The sequence below is a fragment of the Homo sapiens genome, chromosome 17, assembly GCF_000001405.40.
Source record: "Homo sapiens chromosome 17, GRCh38.p14 Primary Assembly".
Classification (NCBI taxonomy): domain Eukaryota; kingdom Metazoa; phylum Chordata; class Mammalia; order Primates; family Hominidae; genus Homo; species Homo sapiens.
This window is the reverse complement of record NC_000017.11, coordinates 3,859,990-3,873,350: the sequence shown is the minus strand read 5'-3', so window position 1 is coordinate 3,873,350 and position 13,361 is coordinate 3,859,990. Positions and strand designations below refer to the sequence as shown.

The 13,361-nt window shown below is 57.0% G+C and overlaps 1 protein-coding gene across 3 annotated transcripts in view, besides 2 other annotated features; it reads left to right on the top strand.

Moving 5' to 3' along the window:
• The window catches only part of CAMKK1 (calcium/calmodulin dependent protein kinase kinase 1), a 32,739-nt gene extending 19,703 nt beyond the window's left edge, over positions 1-13,036 (top strand). For 2 of the 3 annotated variants that reach the window (NM_032294.3, NM_172206.2), the window contains exons 12-16: positions 724-797; positions 3,463-3,550; positions 3,736-3,864; positions 7,340-7,443; positions 11,068-13,036. In NM_032294.3, coding sequence (NP_115670.1) covers positions 724-797; positions 3,463-3,550; positions 3,736-3,864; positions 7,340-7,443; positions 11,068-11,140 — 468 coding nt within the window. In that variant the 3' untranslated portion in view covers positions 11,141-13,036. Of the gene's footprint in view, positions 1-723; positions 798-3,462; positions 3,551-3,735; positions 3,865-7,339; positions 8,195-11,067 lie in introns of those variants that run through there. The other variant, NM_172207.3, reaches the window with a different exon arrangement.
• Positions 4,555-5,054: an enhancer, noted in NCBI's record as "H3K4me1 hESC enhancer chr17:3771591-3772090 (GRCh37/hg19 assembly coordinates)". NCBI's record gives its function as "activates a minimal SCP1, AML or CMV promoter by ChIP-STARR-seq in primed H9 embryonic stem cells {active_cell/tissue: H9 hESC(primed)}" and the evidence as "EXISTENCE:reporter gene assay evidence [ECO:0000049][PMID:30033119]".
• Positions 5,055-5,556: an enhancer, noted in NCBI's record as "H3K4me1 hESC enhancer chr17:3771089-3771590 (GRCh37/hg19 assembly coordinates)". NCBI's record gives its function as "activates a minimal SCP1, AML or CMV promoter by ChIP-STARR-seq in primed H9 embryonic stem cells {active_cell/tissue: H9 hESC(primed)}" and the evidence as "EXISTENCE:reporter gene assay evidence [ECO:0000049][PMID:30033119]".
• Positions 13,037-13,361: the final 325 nt, after the last annotated feature.

Below are 13,361 nucleotides of genomic sequence, written 5' to 3'. Positions count from 1 at the left end.
CGGATGCAGGCTCTTCCTTTTTGTCCTTAAGTGGCTTTTGAAAGAGCCCACCTGGCTCAGAGAAGGCTGAGAGAGAAGAGGCTTTTTCTATCTTTCTCTGGTCCCCTGCGGAGCGATTCTCGCGAAGGAGTCGCAGGACAGCAGACACCTAAGGGGAGGTGCCGACGATGGTGTTGCCACCGCCCCAGCCAGAGTGCTCCCCGTCCCTCTGTCCCTTGACGCCATTCACTTATTGAGCCATGTGTTCACTCCCTTGCTCATTTATTCGACAAATTGTCCTTCACCCCTACCCTGGCTGAGGCTGGACCCTGGGGACACCCAACGCTGACGTATCGGTGATCCCTGCCCGCAGGTGTGCCTGCTCTGGTGACCACACTAAGGGGCAGGGGGGAATTTCAGTGAACATGTTCCCAAGCCCCAGGCCCTGGGAGTGGAGGCCTGGCCACAGGTGGCGGTAATGGTGGTGGGTGCACCCAGCCTGGCCTGGCCTGGCCGCGGGTGGCAGTAACGGCGGTGGATGCACCCAGCCTCATTGTTCCCTCAGCAACTCATTCATTCAGTCAACATTTGTTGAACATTTACAGTGTGAGTTGAGGTCCTTCTCATGTAATGGGAGCCCAGACCTGCCCCCTACCCCTGCCCCCACCAAGGGAGGGGGGTTGATCCCCTGGCACAGGTCGAGGCCCTGGACCCACATCCTTTGTCTGCCTCTCCACCCCACAGTGCCCATTCATCGACGATTTCATCCTGGCCCTCCACAGGAAGATCAAGAATGAGCCCGTGGTGTTTCCTGAGGAGTGAGTTGTCCACCCAGGGGAACAAGGGGGCTACCACCCGCTCCTGGTGTCTGAGTTTTAGCAGAGCTTTTGCCCTCTGAGGACCCCACCCCAGCCTGCAGATATGAAGGTGGCGGTGCTGTTCCCTGGGAGGGACCCCTGAATAGATGGACGGGAGGGACTCTGGAGCCAAGGGTCTCCGCAACGTCACTGTGTGGATGGGAACCCTGAGATCCAGGGTTGGCCAGGGATGACCACAGGCATCATTCACACCACTCCTTCACCGCAGGCCTGCCTGGGGTCAGTGGCGCCAGCCCCACCCAGCCCCTGGACTCAAGGGGAACTTCTCCTTCCCCCACTCAGGGTCAGGGAACTTCAAGATGCCAGTGCGTGCTCCCCATTTCACAGATGGAAAAGAGGATGCTCTGGAGGAGAGCGGTCAGGGGGCTGGGACTCAAGCCACTCTTCCTCCCCACTCTTCCCATTGTGACCGAGGTCTCTGAGCGTAGCAGGGACGTCGGGGAGGCCTCTTGCTCATGCATGGTTCGCCTCATGACGGCCACCGTGGCAGCCACAGCCTGAGCTCCCAGGCTCCTCTTTTCAGCAGTGGATTTCAGGAGTGAAATGGAGGCCGGGTGCGGTGGCTCACGCCTGTAATCCCAGCACTTTGGGAGGCTGAGGTGGGCAGATCACCTGAGGTTAGGAGTTAGAGACCAGCCTGGCCAACATGGTGAAACCCCATCTCTACTAAAAATACAAAAATTAGCCAGGCGTGGTGGCGCACATCTGTAGTCCCAGCTACTCGGGAGGCTGAAGCACGAGAATTGCTTGAACCCAGGAGGCAGAGGTTGCAGTGAGCCTGGGCGACAGAGCAAGACTCTGTCTCAAAAAAAAAAAACAGAAGAAAGAAACTGAATAAGGCCGGGTGCGGCGGCTCACACCTGTAATTCCAGCACTTTGGGAGGCCAAGGAGGGCGGATCACGAGGTCAGGAGATCGAGACCATCCTGGCTAACACGGTGAAACCCCATCTCTACTAAAAATAGAAAAAAAATTAGCCGGGCGTGGTGGCGGGTGCCTGTAGTCCCAGCTACTCGAGAGGCTGAGGCAGGAGAACGGCGTGAACCCGGGAGGCAGAGGTTTCAGTGAGCTGAGACCGTGCTACTGCACTCCAGCCTGGGCGACAGAGCGAGACTCTGTCTCAAAAAAAAAAAAAAAAAAAAAAAAACAAAAAAAAAAAAACAAAAAACAACAAACAAAAAAAGAAAATGAAACGGGACTTGTACTCAGCGACTCCTGCTCTCTTCTGCTTATTTCCTGTGTGGTCCCCAAGCCCTGCTGAGCCCTCCTCTTCCCTGTCTCTGGGCCTTGTTGCCACTTATACCCCTTGCCTCATTCAGGCCTCAGGCCCCTCCCCAGACTTATCTAGCCACCTTCCCCCTGGTCTCGCTGCTGCTGGCCTCCCTCCAGTCCAGCCAACACATTCAGGCGGGGACAGCCCTGATAAAGCACAACAAATCTGCCTGCATCTCTTGCCTGAAGTTTGTCTGAAGCTTCTCAAAGCCACACCCTGGCGCTAGCATTCACACGTCTCCGGGTTCTGCCACCCGCTCGTCTGGGGCCGCCTCACTCCCTTTCCCGAGCACCAGCCAGCTGGCTTCTGTCCATTTCCTCCTCATCCTGTGGTTGCCTTCCCTCCCTGCCTCCACAGTTGTACCCCTGGTGCCTCTCTTCCTGCTATACCCCCTGCTGAGGGGTGTCTTTCCCCTCAGCCCAGGAATTTTAAAAGGGATGAAGCATCTAAGACAACAGGGGGAACCGAAGTCAACAGTCCTGAGAGTGGCTTTCTGCTCCCTAGTCTTGGAAGGATGGGCTCCCCAAGACCACTGGTGGCAAAGAAACCTGGGGTTTGGCCGGGCGTGGTGGCTCACGCCTGTAATCCCAGCACTTTGGGAGGCCAAGGCAGGCGGATCATGAGATCAGGAGATCGAGATCATCCTGGCTAACACGGTGAAACCCCGTCTCTACTAAAAATACAAAAAATTAGCCGGGCACGGTGGCGGGCACCTGTAGTCCCAGCTACTCGGGAGGCTGAGGCAGGAGAATGGCATGAACCTGGGAGGCGGAGCTTGCAGTGAGCCGAGATTGCGCCACTGCACTCCAGCCTGGGCCACAGAGCGAGACTCCATCTCAAAAAAAAAAAAGAACCCTGGGGTTTGGGCAGAGAGAGTTGGAGCTGATGTGGCGCTGAGGGGGCTGCTCCCTCCCATCTGAGTCTCCCATCTCTGCCTGCACTCTTCTGGCTGGCACTGTGCCAGCCTGCTAACCTCCCTGGGCCTCAGTTTCCTCCTCTGTCAAATGAGAGAGGATCTTCTCTGGGTGTAGAAAAGGACGAGGTGGTGAGTGGGTCTGAAGGCCTCTGGTGTCCCATAAAGCGACTCTCCTCACCATCTTTGCCACCCATTGGGGTGTCCAGCACCCATGGAACTCTGTCTGTGCCTCTGTCCTGGAGGGAGACTTGACCTCCTGCTCAGGAAAGGCTCTCCAAGCCCTTGTTGTGAAATTCCTGCCTGCTGTCCGGAACTCAGTCTTCCCATCCGAGGGACGAAGGTTTCGGGAAGAGAGGTGGACAGGAAGGGGTCCTCATCAGCGGTCCCACCCTCCTCTCCTTCCTTCGCCCTCTCCAGGCCAGAAATCAGCGAGGAGCTCAAGGACCTGATCCTGAAGATGTTAGACAAGAATCCCGAGACGAGAATTGGGGTGCCAGACATCAAGGTCGGGGAACTGGGGGTCTTGGGCTGGGCTGGGACACAGAAAACAGGAGTCACTTTCCCTTTCTGGAGGGATCAACACCAGGATGCATGTGTGTTGGGTTTGAGTCTGTGGACTTTGGACCCCTCCAGGTGATTCTGGTAATGGCCTGACCTCTCCCCCTCTCCCTGCCCTCCCGGCCCCGACAGTTGCACCCTTGGGTGACCAAGAACGGGGAGGAGCCCCTTCCTTCGGAGGAGGAGCACTGCAGCGTGGTGGAGGTGACAGAGGAGGAGGTTAAGAACTCAGTCAGGCTCATCCCCAGCTGGACCACGGTGGTAAGAGAGCCGGGGTAGATGCTCCCTTGTCCTGGAGGGCCTGGGGGACCTGAGCCTTGCTCTGTGCCTGGCTCCTTGGGGGGACAGAGGCCTGCCTGGCCAGCCAGCTGTGATCCTGGGCCACTGGAGCCGCCATTCTGCTGGAGGCCCATGGAGAGGGAGGTCTTGTGGTCGGGAGACCAGGAGGCTTGGTGAGGAGAGTGACTGATTTAAAGAAATAGCGGGCGTGGGGCCGGGCGCGGTGGCTCACGCCTGTAATCCCAGCACTTTGGGAGGCCAAGGCGGGCAGATCACGAGGTCAGGAGATCGAGACCATCCTTGAAACCCCGACTCTACTAAAAATATAGAAAATTAGCTGGGCGTGGTGGCGGGCGCGTGTAGTCCCAGCTACTCGGGAGGCTGAGGCAGGAGAATGGTGTGAACCCGGGAGGTGGAGTTTGCCGTGAGCCGAGATCGCGCCACTGCACTCCAGCCTGGGCCACAGAGCGAGACTGCGTCTCAAAAAAAAAAAAAGAAGAAAAGAAAAGAAAGAAATACCGGGCGCGGTGGCTCACGCCTGGAATCCCAGCACTTTGGGAGGCCGAGGCGGGTGGATCACGAGGTCAGGAGATCGAGACCATCCTGGCTAATACGGCGAAACCCCACCTCTACTAAAAATACAAAAAAATTAGCCGGGCGCAGTGGTGGGCACCTGTAGTCCCAGCTACTGGGGAGGCCGAGGCAGGAGAATCGCTTGAACCTGGGAGGTGGAGGTTGTAGTGAGCCAAGATCACGCCATTGCACTCCAGCCTGGTTGACAGAACGAGACTCCATCTCAAAAAAAAAAAGAAAGAAATAGATGGCCCTTGCTCAGCGGCAGCAGTCACCGTGACTGGAAGAAGCATTTCATTCCGTCCAGACAGTTACTGAGCTTCCGTTCTCCAGGCACTGCACAAGGTGCCGAGGACAAGGCAGGGGAACGGCCTGGGCAGCCTTTGGATTGGAGGAGTGGCCCCAAAGCCCACGTATCAGTTAGGCGGCGCCTGCGTCTCCCCCAGAGCCCACGTATCAGTTAGGCAGCACCTGTGTCTCCCCCAGAGCCCACATATCAGTTAGATGGGCCTGCGTCTCCCCCAGCGCCCGCGTATCAATCAGGCAGTGCCTGCGTCTCCCCCAGATCCTGTGTATCAGTTAGACGGTGCCTGCATCTCCCCCGTGCCCACGTATCAGTTAGACGGCGCCTGCTTCTCCCCCAGAGCCCACGTATCAGTTAGACGGCGCCTGCTTCTCCCCCAGAGCCCACGTATCAGTTAGACGGCGCCTGCTTCTCCCCCAGAGCCCACGTATCAGTTAGACGGCGCCTGCTTCTCCCCCAGAGCCCACGTATCAGTTAGACGGCGCCTGCTTCTCCCCCAGAGCCCACGTATCAGTTAGACTGCGCCTGCTTCTCCCCCAGATCCTGTGTATCAGTTAGACGGCGCCTGCTTCTCCCCCAGAGCCCGCGTATCAGTTAGACGGTGCCTGCATCTCCCCCAGATCCTGCGTATCCATTAGACAGTGCCTGTGTCTCCCCTAGTGCCCGCTCACATTTCGGTTTTGCTCCTCTTCCTCTGCTCAGCTTCTGTGTTGGCACTTGGAAGTGATTCACATAGTCCCCCGTGGCCACCTGGGGCCACTGAGAGCCCTGCCCTGCCCCTGCCTGACAGTCAAGTGAGTCAGGGCAAGCACAAGGCCAGGAGGAGAGCCAGGGCCACTGCCGTTGGCGGGGCCTGGCCTTGCACTTTATCCCCCTCTGCAGGGTCCCGGCCCAGCTGGGACCAGCTGGCTCAATCCCTGCCCCCTATGCTTACTTGACTCTGTGGGGTCGCTGGAACCAGGCAACTCCCACGGGGTCCCCATGACCACTTGCCTGATCTTAGCCACCATCTCCTCTCTCTCAGACCACTGGAACAACCTCCCACGCTGTCCCTTGCTTCTACTCTCACTCCCTGTCCCCCTGGTCAATGCTCAACTCAGCACCCAGCATGGTCCCAGTGGCATGAGTGTGTCACCTCCCAGCTCAGAGCCTGCTTCTCACTCGGGCTGCTGTGTCCCTCAGAATCAGACCTCCAGCCTGTGCCCCACCACCCGCCCTGTTTTTCTGCGGGGCTCGTGCACCGTCCCGCCATCATGCACTCGTCTCTGGCCACGTGCCATGGAAGGGGCTGCCCCAGAGCCTTCAGACTTCGCTTCCCTCTGCCCGGGGAGTCCCACCCCCGATGGCCACGGGACTCGCTCCCTCACTTCCTTCGGCTTTTTACGCCAGGGTCCCCTCCTAGAGAGAAGCGAGCCTTCCCTGACCCTGTAGCTTCAGCCTCCCCTGCTTCACACCTCATCGCCATTCCCTTGTTTTATTTTTTCCTTTCCACTTACTGACATACATAATTTACTGATTTTTCTTCTTTACTTATCGCCTGTCTCCCCCAACTAGAATATAAGCTGTATGATGGCTGGGCGCAGTGGCTCACGCCTGTAATCCCAGCACTTTGGGAGGCCAAGGCGGGAGGATCACTTGAGGTCAGGAGTTTGAGACCAGCCTGGCCAACATGCTGAAGCCCCGTCTCTTCTAAAAATACAAAAAATTAGCCGGGTGTGGTGGTGGACGCCTGTAATCCCAGCTATTCAGGAGACTGAGGCGGAAGGATCATTTGAAGCGGGGAGGCAGAGGTTGCAGTGAGCCGAGATTGTGCCACTGCACTCCAGCCCTGGGCAACAAGAGCAAAACTCCGTCTGAAAAAAAAAAAAGGCTATATGAGGGCAGGAATTCTGGCCTCAGTGTGGCCCCAGGGCCTAGAGTAGTGGCCAGCACCCAGTAGGCAGCCAGTGGTGACCAGTGTTGACGGGATGGATGGACACAAGCGAGGGAGTGAAGGGACTGGCAAGTGTGCCGCTGCCTCTCTGCATGCGTGTGAGTCGGCGTGTCTGTGGGCACGGCATGGAACCGTCCTTGTCACGGAGGAGGGACAAAGGCAGAGAGCCAGGCTGCGGCAGCTGTTCCCCTCCTGGCAGCCCCACTGACTGGGCCACCGGCTGCGGCTCAGCCGCTTCCCGGGCCGCCCTGCAGTAGCATCTTGGCATCTTCTCGGCGGCCGGAAGGCGGGAAGGATGGCACAGCATCCCTCCATGGCATTGCTGCCGTAGCGAGAAGGTATCTTCTAATGGACTCCCACTTCCAGCCCTGGCCCTCCCCACTCTTTCAGCCTGGCCTTGCGGACCCTTCATGGGCTGGTCCCGGCCCCCTCCTCATGTACCAGTGGCATCCGGCTCCTCACCATTCCAGGAATATGCCCCCAGCTGCCAGCGCCCCGTGTTCTTGCCTCTGCCATTTCATGCTGTGCTGATTGAGATGGGACCCGCACTGCGGCCCCCTTGGCAGCTGCTCTCGGGGAATCGGAGCAGAGGCTGCGTGTCTGGGAGCCTGGGACCTGTGCTCCTCACGCTGCCTTGTCCTCCTCAGATCCTGGTGAAGTCCATGCTGAGGAAGCGTTCCTTTGGGAACCCGTTTGAGCCCCAAGCACGGAGGGAAGAGCGATCCATGTCTGCTCCAGGAAACCTACTGGTGTAAGTACTGGTGGGCCAGGGACTGCCGGGCACTCCCTGGAGTTGGGTGGGGAGGTCTGAGGCCCATCCTCCCACTCTCACTGTCGTTGGGCCAAGGCCAGAGCCTGGGGACTTGGCCAGGTCTCGGTGTTGGCCCCATTTGCATCTCTGTCCCCAAGGTTAGTCGGGGCTAGAAGGGACCTTTTGGGCCCAGCTCTTGCTTCATTCCTGGGGCCAGCATCCCTCACACACACACTTCCAGGGATGAGGAGCTCACGCAGCCCCTCCATGGGACAGGAAGACCCTTCTTCCATGCAGCTTGATGTCACTCTCTCACTGGGTCCAGCCCCTCTGGGGCTTCAAATCTGTGGCCCCCTCAGCCCTTGGCAGCCTGGCAGAGGTTTGCAGACAGGCTGATGTTGGCTTCCTGTAGGAGGCTGGCGGGCTGTAGAGGAGGGGTGCTGGCCCCTCTGCCTGGCCCTGGGGACTGTTGGCTGCTCTCCCAAGTGGCCCAGGCTGCCTGCAGCCATTGCTGGGGCTCTGTGCCCAGTCAGCACTTTGTGAGTGCTTGTTCAGTGAGTAAGCAGGGACAGGCTGGCCGGTGGACCACGGGAGAGGAACCCGCATTGGCCGAGGGCTCCCTATGGTGAGCCACGCCTGTGGGTTCACCACCTCCTAGGAGGGTCCAGAAAAGCAGCTCCCCAAGCCTGTGCGCCTCGTCCTCAGCAGATCCACCTTCTTCACTATAATAAAAGCCAGTCTGGGATGCTAATAAGGCCTGTGCTGGAGTTTGTACACAAACCTGCAGAGAGAAAACCAGTGGGGTCCTGAACCACAGCGTGGTCCTGGGACAGCCACTGCCTTCCTCTGGCCCCGGAGGGAAGCTTTGGGGAAGGGGCTGGTGGGAGTTGTTTGCCCCACCCTGGCCTGCTCTGTGTGGAAGGCGCACTCCCCAGAGGGGTGAGTGCCAGGCGCTGTCCGGGTGCCTTGGCTTCACGCTGTCACCAGGCCTGTCCGGGACCACCATGTTGGTTTCCCGTGAGGCCTCCCTCTCATAAGAGGGCCCTTCAGAAGGGTCGGGACCCCTCGTAGTGGACAAGCTGACATCTGCTCCCTGCTGGAGGTGGCTTGCACCCAGGGAGAGCCTCATAATGAGGTGGGGGGCCTGGGAGAGGCCTGGAGGTCCCAACTGCAGCTTTTCTGTCATCTCTTCAGGGAGGTGGTTGCGGTTGGGGGAGGATTCTCTGAGCTCATCCAGGAATGTAGGCCCCTGATGCTGGAATTGTGCTTAGTGTAGGGGGAGAGGGGGCATATATAATTTGACGTCCAAATGGGGACATTTTTGAGAGTGAAAGGGGAAGCCATTAATAATTATGCCAGCACGGCCGGGTGCGGTGGCTCACGCCTGTAATCCCAGCACTTTGGGAGGCCGAGGCGGGTGGATCACAGGGTCAGGAGATCGAGACCATCCTGGCTAACACGGTGAAACCCCGTCTCTACTAAAAATACAAAAAATCAGCTGGGCGTGGTGGCGGGCACCTGGAGTCCCAGCTACTCAGGAGGCTGAGGCAGGAGAATGGCGTGAACCCGGGAGGCAGAGCTTGCAGTGAGCCAAGGTCACGCCACTGCACTCCAGCCTGGGCGACAGAGTGAGACTCCGTCTCAAAAAATAATAATTATTATGCCAGCATGGTGGCTCATGCCTATAATCCCAGCACTTTGGGAGGCCAAGGCAGGATTGCTTGAGGCCAGGAGTTCAAGACCAGCCTGGGCAACATAGCAAGACCCCATCTCTAAAAAAAAAAAAAATTAGCCGGGCGTGGTGGTGGGTGCCTGTAGTCCCAGCAACTCAGGAGGCTGAGGTGGGAGGATTGCTTGAGTCTGGGAGGTGGAGGTTGCAGTGAGCTGAGATTGCACCACTGTACTCCAGCCTGGGTGACAGAGCCAGACCCTGTCTCAAAAAAAAAAAAGAAAAAAAAGTAATAATAATTATGCCAGGACAGCAGGTGGACGGACACCTGGTCCTTCTGACTCAGAGCCTGTGGTCCAGCACCCCCTAGTGGTGGAACAAGCCAGACACAGGATAAGGATACATTTAGTGTCTAGTTTGTACCTGGCAAACAGAGTGACAAGATTGGGCTTAATACTTTCCAGCTATAAAATTCTAGAATTCTGTGACCCAAGTTTAATTTGGGGTAGAGCTTTTTAAAAAAAAAATAGAGATGGAGTCTTGCCATGTTGCCCAGGCTGGACTTAAACTCCTGGCCTCAAGCCATTTGCCCACCTTGGCCTCCGAAAGTGCCAGGTGATTACAGGCATGAGCCACCACACCCAGCCTCCACGTTTAACTTTGAAAGAAGATTTTACTTCATCATCAAGTCCCAATATTTATCCTTGATAGACTGCTTTGGTTTTTTGTTTGTTTGTTTTGAGATGGAGTTTCACTCTTGTTGCCCAGGCTGGAGTGCAGTGGCGCAAACTCAACTCACTGCAGTCTCCGCCTCTCACATTCAAGCAGTTCTCTTGCCTCAGCCTCCCAAGTAGCTGGGATTACAGGTGCATGCCACCACCACACCGGCTAATTTTTGTATTTTTATTAGAGACGGGATTTCACCATTTTGGCCAGGCTGGTCTCAAACTCCTGACCTCAGGTAATCTGCCCACCTCAGCCTCCCAAAGTGCTGGGATTACAGGCGTGAGCCACTGTGCCCGGCCATAGAGTTTTTTATACTTTGGGATAATTGTAGAAACTCAGTAGTAGAGTTAAGTGGAGTTGGTCCTTTTTAAAGATATCAAAACCCATTTACTGGTTATTTTAAAAAGAGACATTTTGGGAGGAAAACTAGATATAGAAATCTGTTGAATATGTGACAGAATCCCAAGACTGATAGATGGACTCTGCCCTGTGAACAAGGCAAAGAAAAATGCAAAATGAAAGCCTCTCTACCCAGATCTGCTGGGGGATGACTGAGGTCAACACAGAAGGCCCTCAGGCCGGGCACGGTGGCTCACGCCTGCAATCCCAACACTTTAGGAGGCTGAGGTGGATGGATCGCTTGAGCCCAGGAGTTTGAGACCAGCCTGGGCAACATGGTGAAACCCTGTTTTTATAGAGATAAAAAAATACAAAAATTAGCTGGGCGTGGTGGCATGTGCCTGTAGTCTCAGCTACTCAGGAGGCTGAGGTGGGAGGATCGCTTGAGCCTGGAAGGCAGAGGTTGCAATGAGCTGAGATTGCACCACTGCACTGCAGCCTGCACGACAGAGCGAGACGCTGTCTCAAAACAACAACAAAACCACACACACAGAGAGAAGGCCCTTGATTAGGCTGATAGTTGGAGGATGTAGGGAAGTCAGCTGGGTCAGACTGTGAGCAGCTCCAGAGGCCGTGCTGGGAGGTTTAGACTTCATCTCTGGTCAATGGGGGGCCACGGAGGCGTTGCGGGCTGAGACTGGGGGCTGAGAGACCGGCAAGGAGCAACTGCCGTGATGTAGGGAGGCCAGAGGGAGGCCAAGCTTGGGGCAGTGGGTGAAGGGGGCTTTGAGAGATGTGGGATTCAGATTCCTGTGTGTGTGAGGGAGAGTGTCTCCCTGAGTGCATATTCTGACCCTGAGGTCCCTCTGTCCCTGGTGTCCCCTGAACAGGAAAGAAGGGTTTGGTGAAGGGGGCAAGAGCCCAGAGCTCCCCGGCGTCCAGGAAGACGAGGCTGCATCCTGAGCCCCTGCATGCACCCAGGGCCACCCGGCAGCACACTCATCCCGCGCCTCCAGAGGCCCACCCCTCATGCAACAGCCGCCCCCGCAGGCAGGGGGCTGGGGACTGCAGCCCCACTCCCGCCCCTCCCCCATCGTGCTGCATGACCTCCACGCACGCACGTCCAGGGACAGACTGGAATGTATGTCATTTGGGGTCTTGGGGGCAGGGCTCCCACGAGGCCATCCTCCTCTTCTTGGACCTCCTTGGCCTGACCCATTCTGTGGGGAAACCGGGTGCCCATGGAGCCTCAGAAATGCCACCCGGCTGGTTGGCATGGCCTGGGGCAGGAGGCAGAGGCAGGAGACCAAGATGGCAGGTGGAGGCCAGGCTTACCACAACGGAAGAGACCTCCCGCTGGGGCCGGGCAGGCCTGGCTCAGCTGCCACAGGCATATGGTGGAGAGGGGGGTACCCTGCCCACCTTGGGGTGGTGGCACCAGAGCTCTTGTCTATTCAGACGCTGGTATGGGGGCTCGGACCCCTCACTGGGGACAGGGCCAGTGTTGGAGAATTCTGATTCCTTTTTTGTTGTCTTTTACTTTTGTTTTTAACCTGGGGGTTCGGGGAGAGGCCCTGCTTGGGAACATCTCACGAGCTTTCCTACATCTTCCGTGGTTCCCAGCACAGCCCAAGATTATTTGGCAGCCAAGTGGATGGAACTAACTTTCCTGGACTGTGTTTCGCATTCGGCGTTATCTGGAAAGTGGACTGAACGGAATCAAGCTCTGAGCAGAGGCCTGAAGCGGAAGCACCACATCGTCCCTGCCCATCTCACTCTCTCCCTTGATGATGCCCCTAGAGCTGAGGCTGGAGAAGACACCAGGGCTGACTTTGACCGAGGGCCATGGACGCGACAGGCCTGTGGCCCTGCGCATGCTGAAATAACTGGAACCCAGCCTCTCCTCCTACACCGGCCTACCCATCTGGGCCCAAGAGCTGCACTCACACTCCTACAACGAAGGACAAACTGTCCAGGTCGGAGGGATCACGAGACACAGAACCTGGAGGGGTGTGCACGCTGGCAGGTGGCCTCTGCGGCAATTGCCTCACCCTGAGGACATCAGCAGTCAGCCTGCTCAGAGCGGGGGTGCTGGAGCGCGTGCAGACACAGCTCTTCCGGAGCAGCCTTCACCTTCTCTCTGGGATCAGTGTCCGGCTGGCCGACGTGGCATTTGCTGACCGAATGCTCATAGAGGTTGACCCCCACAGGGTCACGCAGGACTCGGACACTGCCCTGGAAACATGGATGGACAAGGGCTTTTGGCCACAGGTGTGGGTGTCCTGTTGGAGGAGGGCTTGTTTGGAGAAGGGAGGCTGGCTGGGGGAGAAACCCGGATCCCGCTGCATCTCCGCGCCTGTGGGTGCATGTCGCGTGCTCATCTGTTGCACACAGCTCACTCGTATGTCCTGCACTGGTACATGCATCTGTAATACAGTTTCTACGTCTATTTAAGGCTAGGAGCCGAATGTGCCCCATTGTCAGTGGGTCCACGTTTCTCCCCGGCTCCTCTGGGCTAAGGCAGTGTGGCCCGAAGCTTAAAAAGTTACTCGGTACTGTTTTTAAGAACACTTTTATAGAGTTAGTGGAAGGCAAGTTAAGAGCCAATCACTGATCCCCAAGTGTTTCTTGAGCATCTGGTCTGGGGGGACCACTTTGATCGGACCCACCCTTGGAAAGCTCAGGGGTAGGCCCAGGTGGGATGCTCACCCTGTCACTGAGGGTTTTGGTTGGCATCGTTGTTTTTGAATGTAGCACAAGCGATGAGCAAACTCTATAAGAGTGTTTTAAAAATTAACTTCCCAGGAAGTGAGTTAAAAACAATAAAAGCCCTTTCTTGAGTTAAAAAGAAAAAAAAAAGGTTTGTGCGTACATTTTCTGCATCTGGATATACGTTCTTTCTCAGCAGCTGGAACAGCTGGCTTTGTTGAATTTTCTGGAAGCGTCTGAGGCACCCTAAGTCCCTGAGCAGGACAGTGGTGAGAAGTGGTCTTGGCGGAGGGAGGGAGAGGGAAGGGCTGGCTCAGGAGGTGACCGGGCTGCAGTCCAGGGTACAGCTGAGGCTCCTGGGCGGGTCCGTGGCCACTCCTTGGGAAGAACTGCCTGTTTCACAGGGGCTCAGGATGCCAAGGTCTGGTCCGGGTAGGAGCCATAGCTGCTGCTTTTGGGGCAGAGGTCCCTGTGG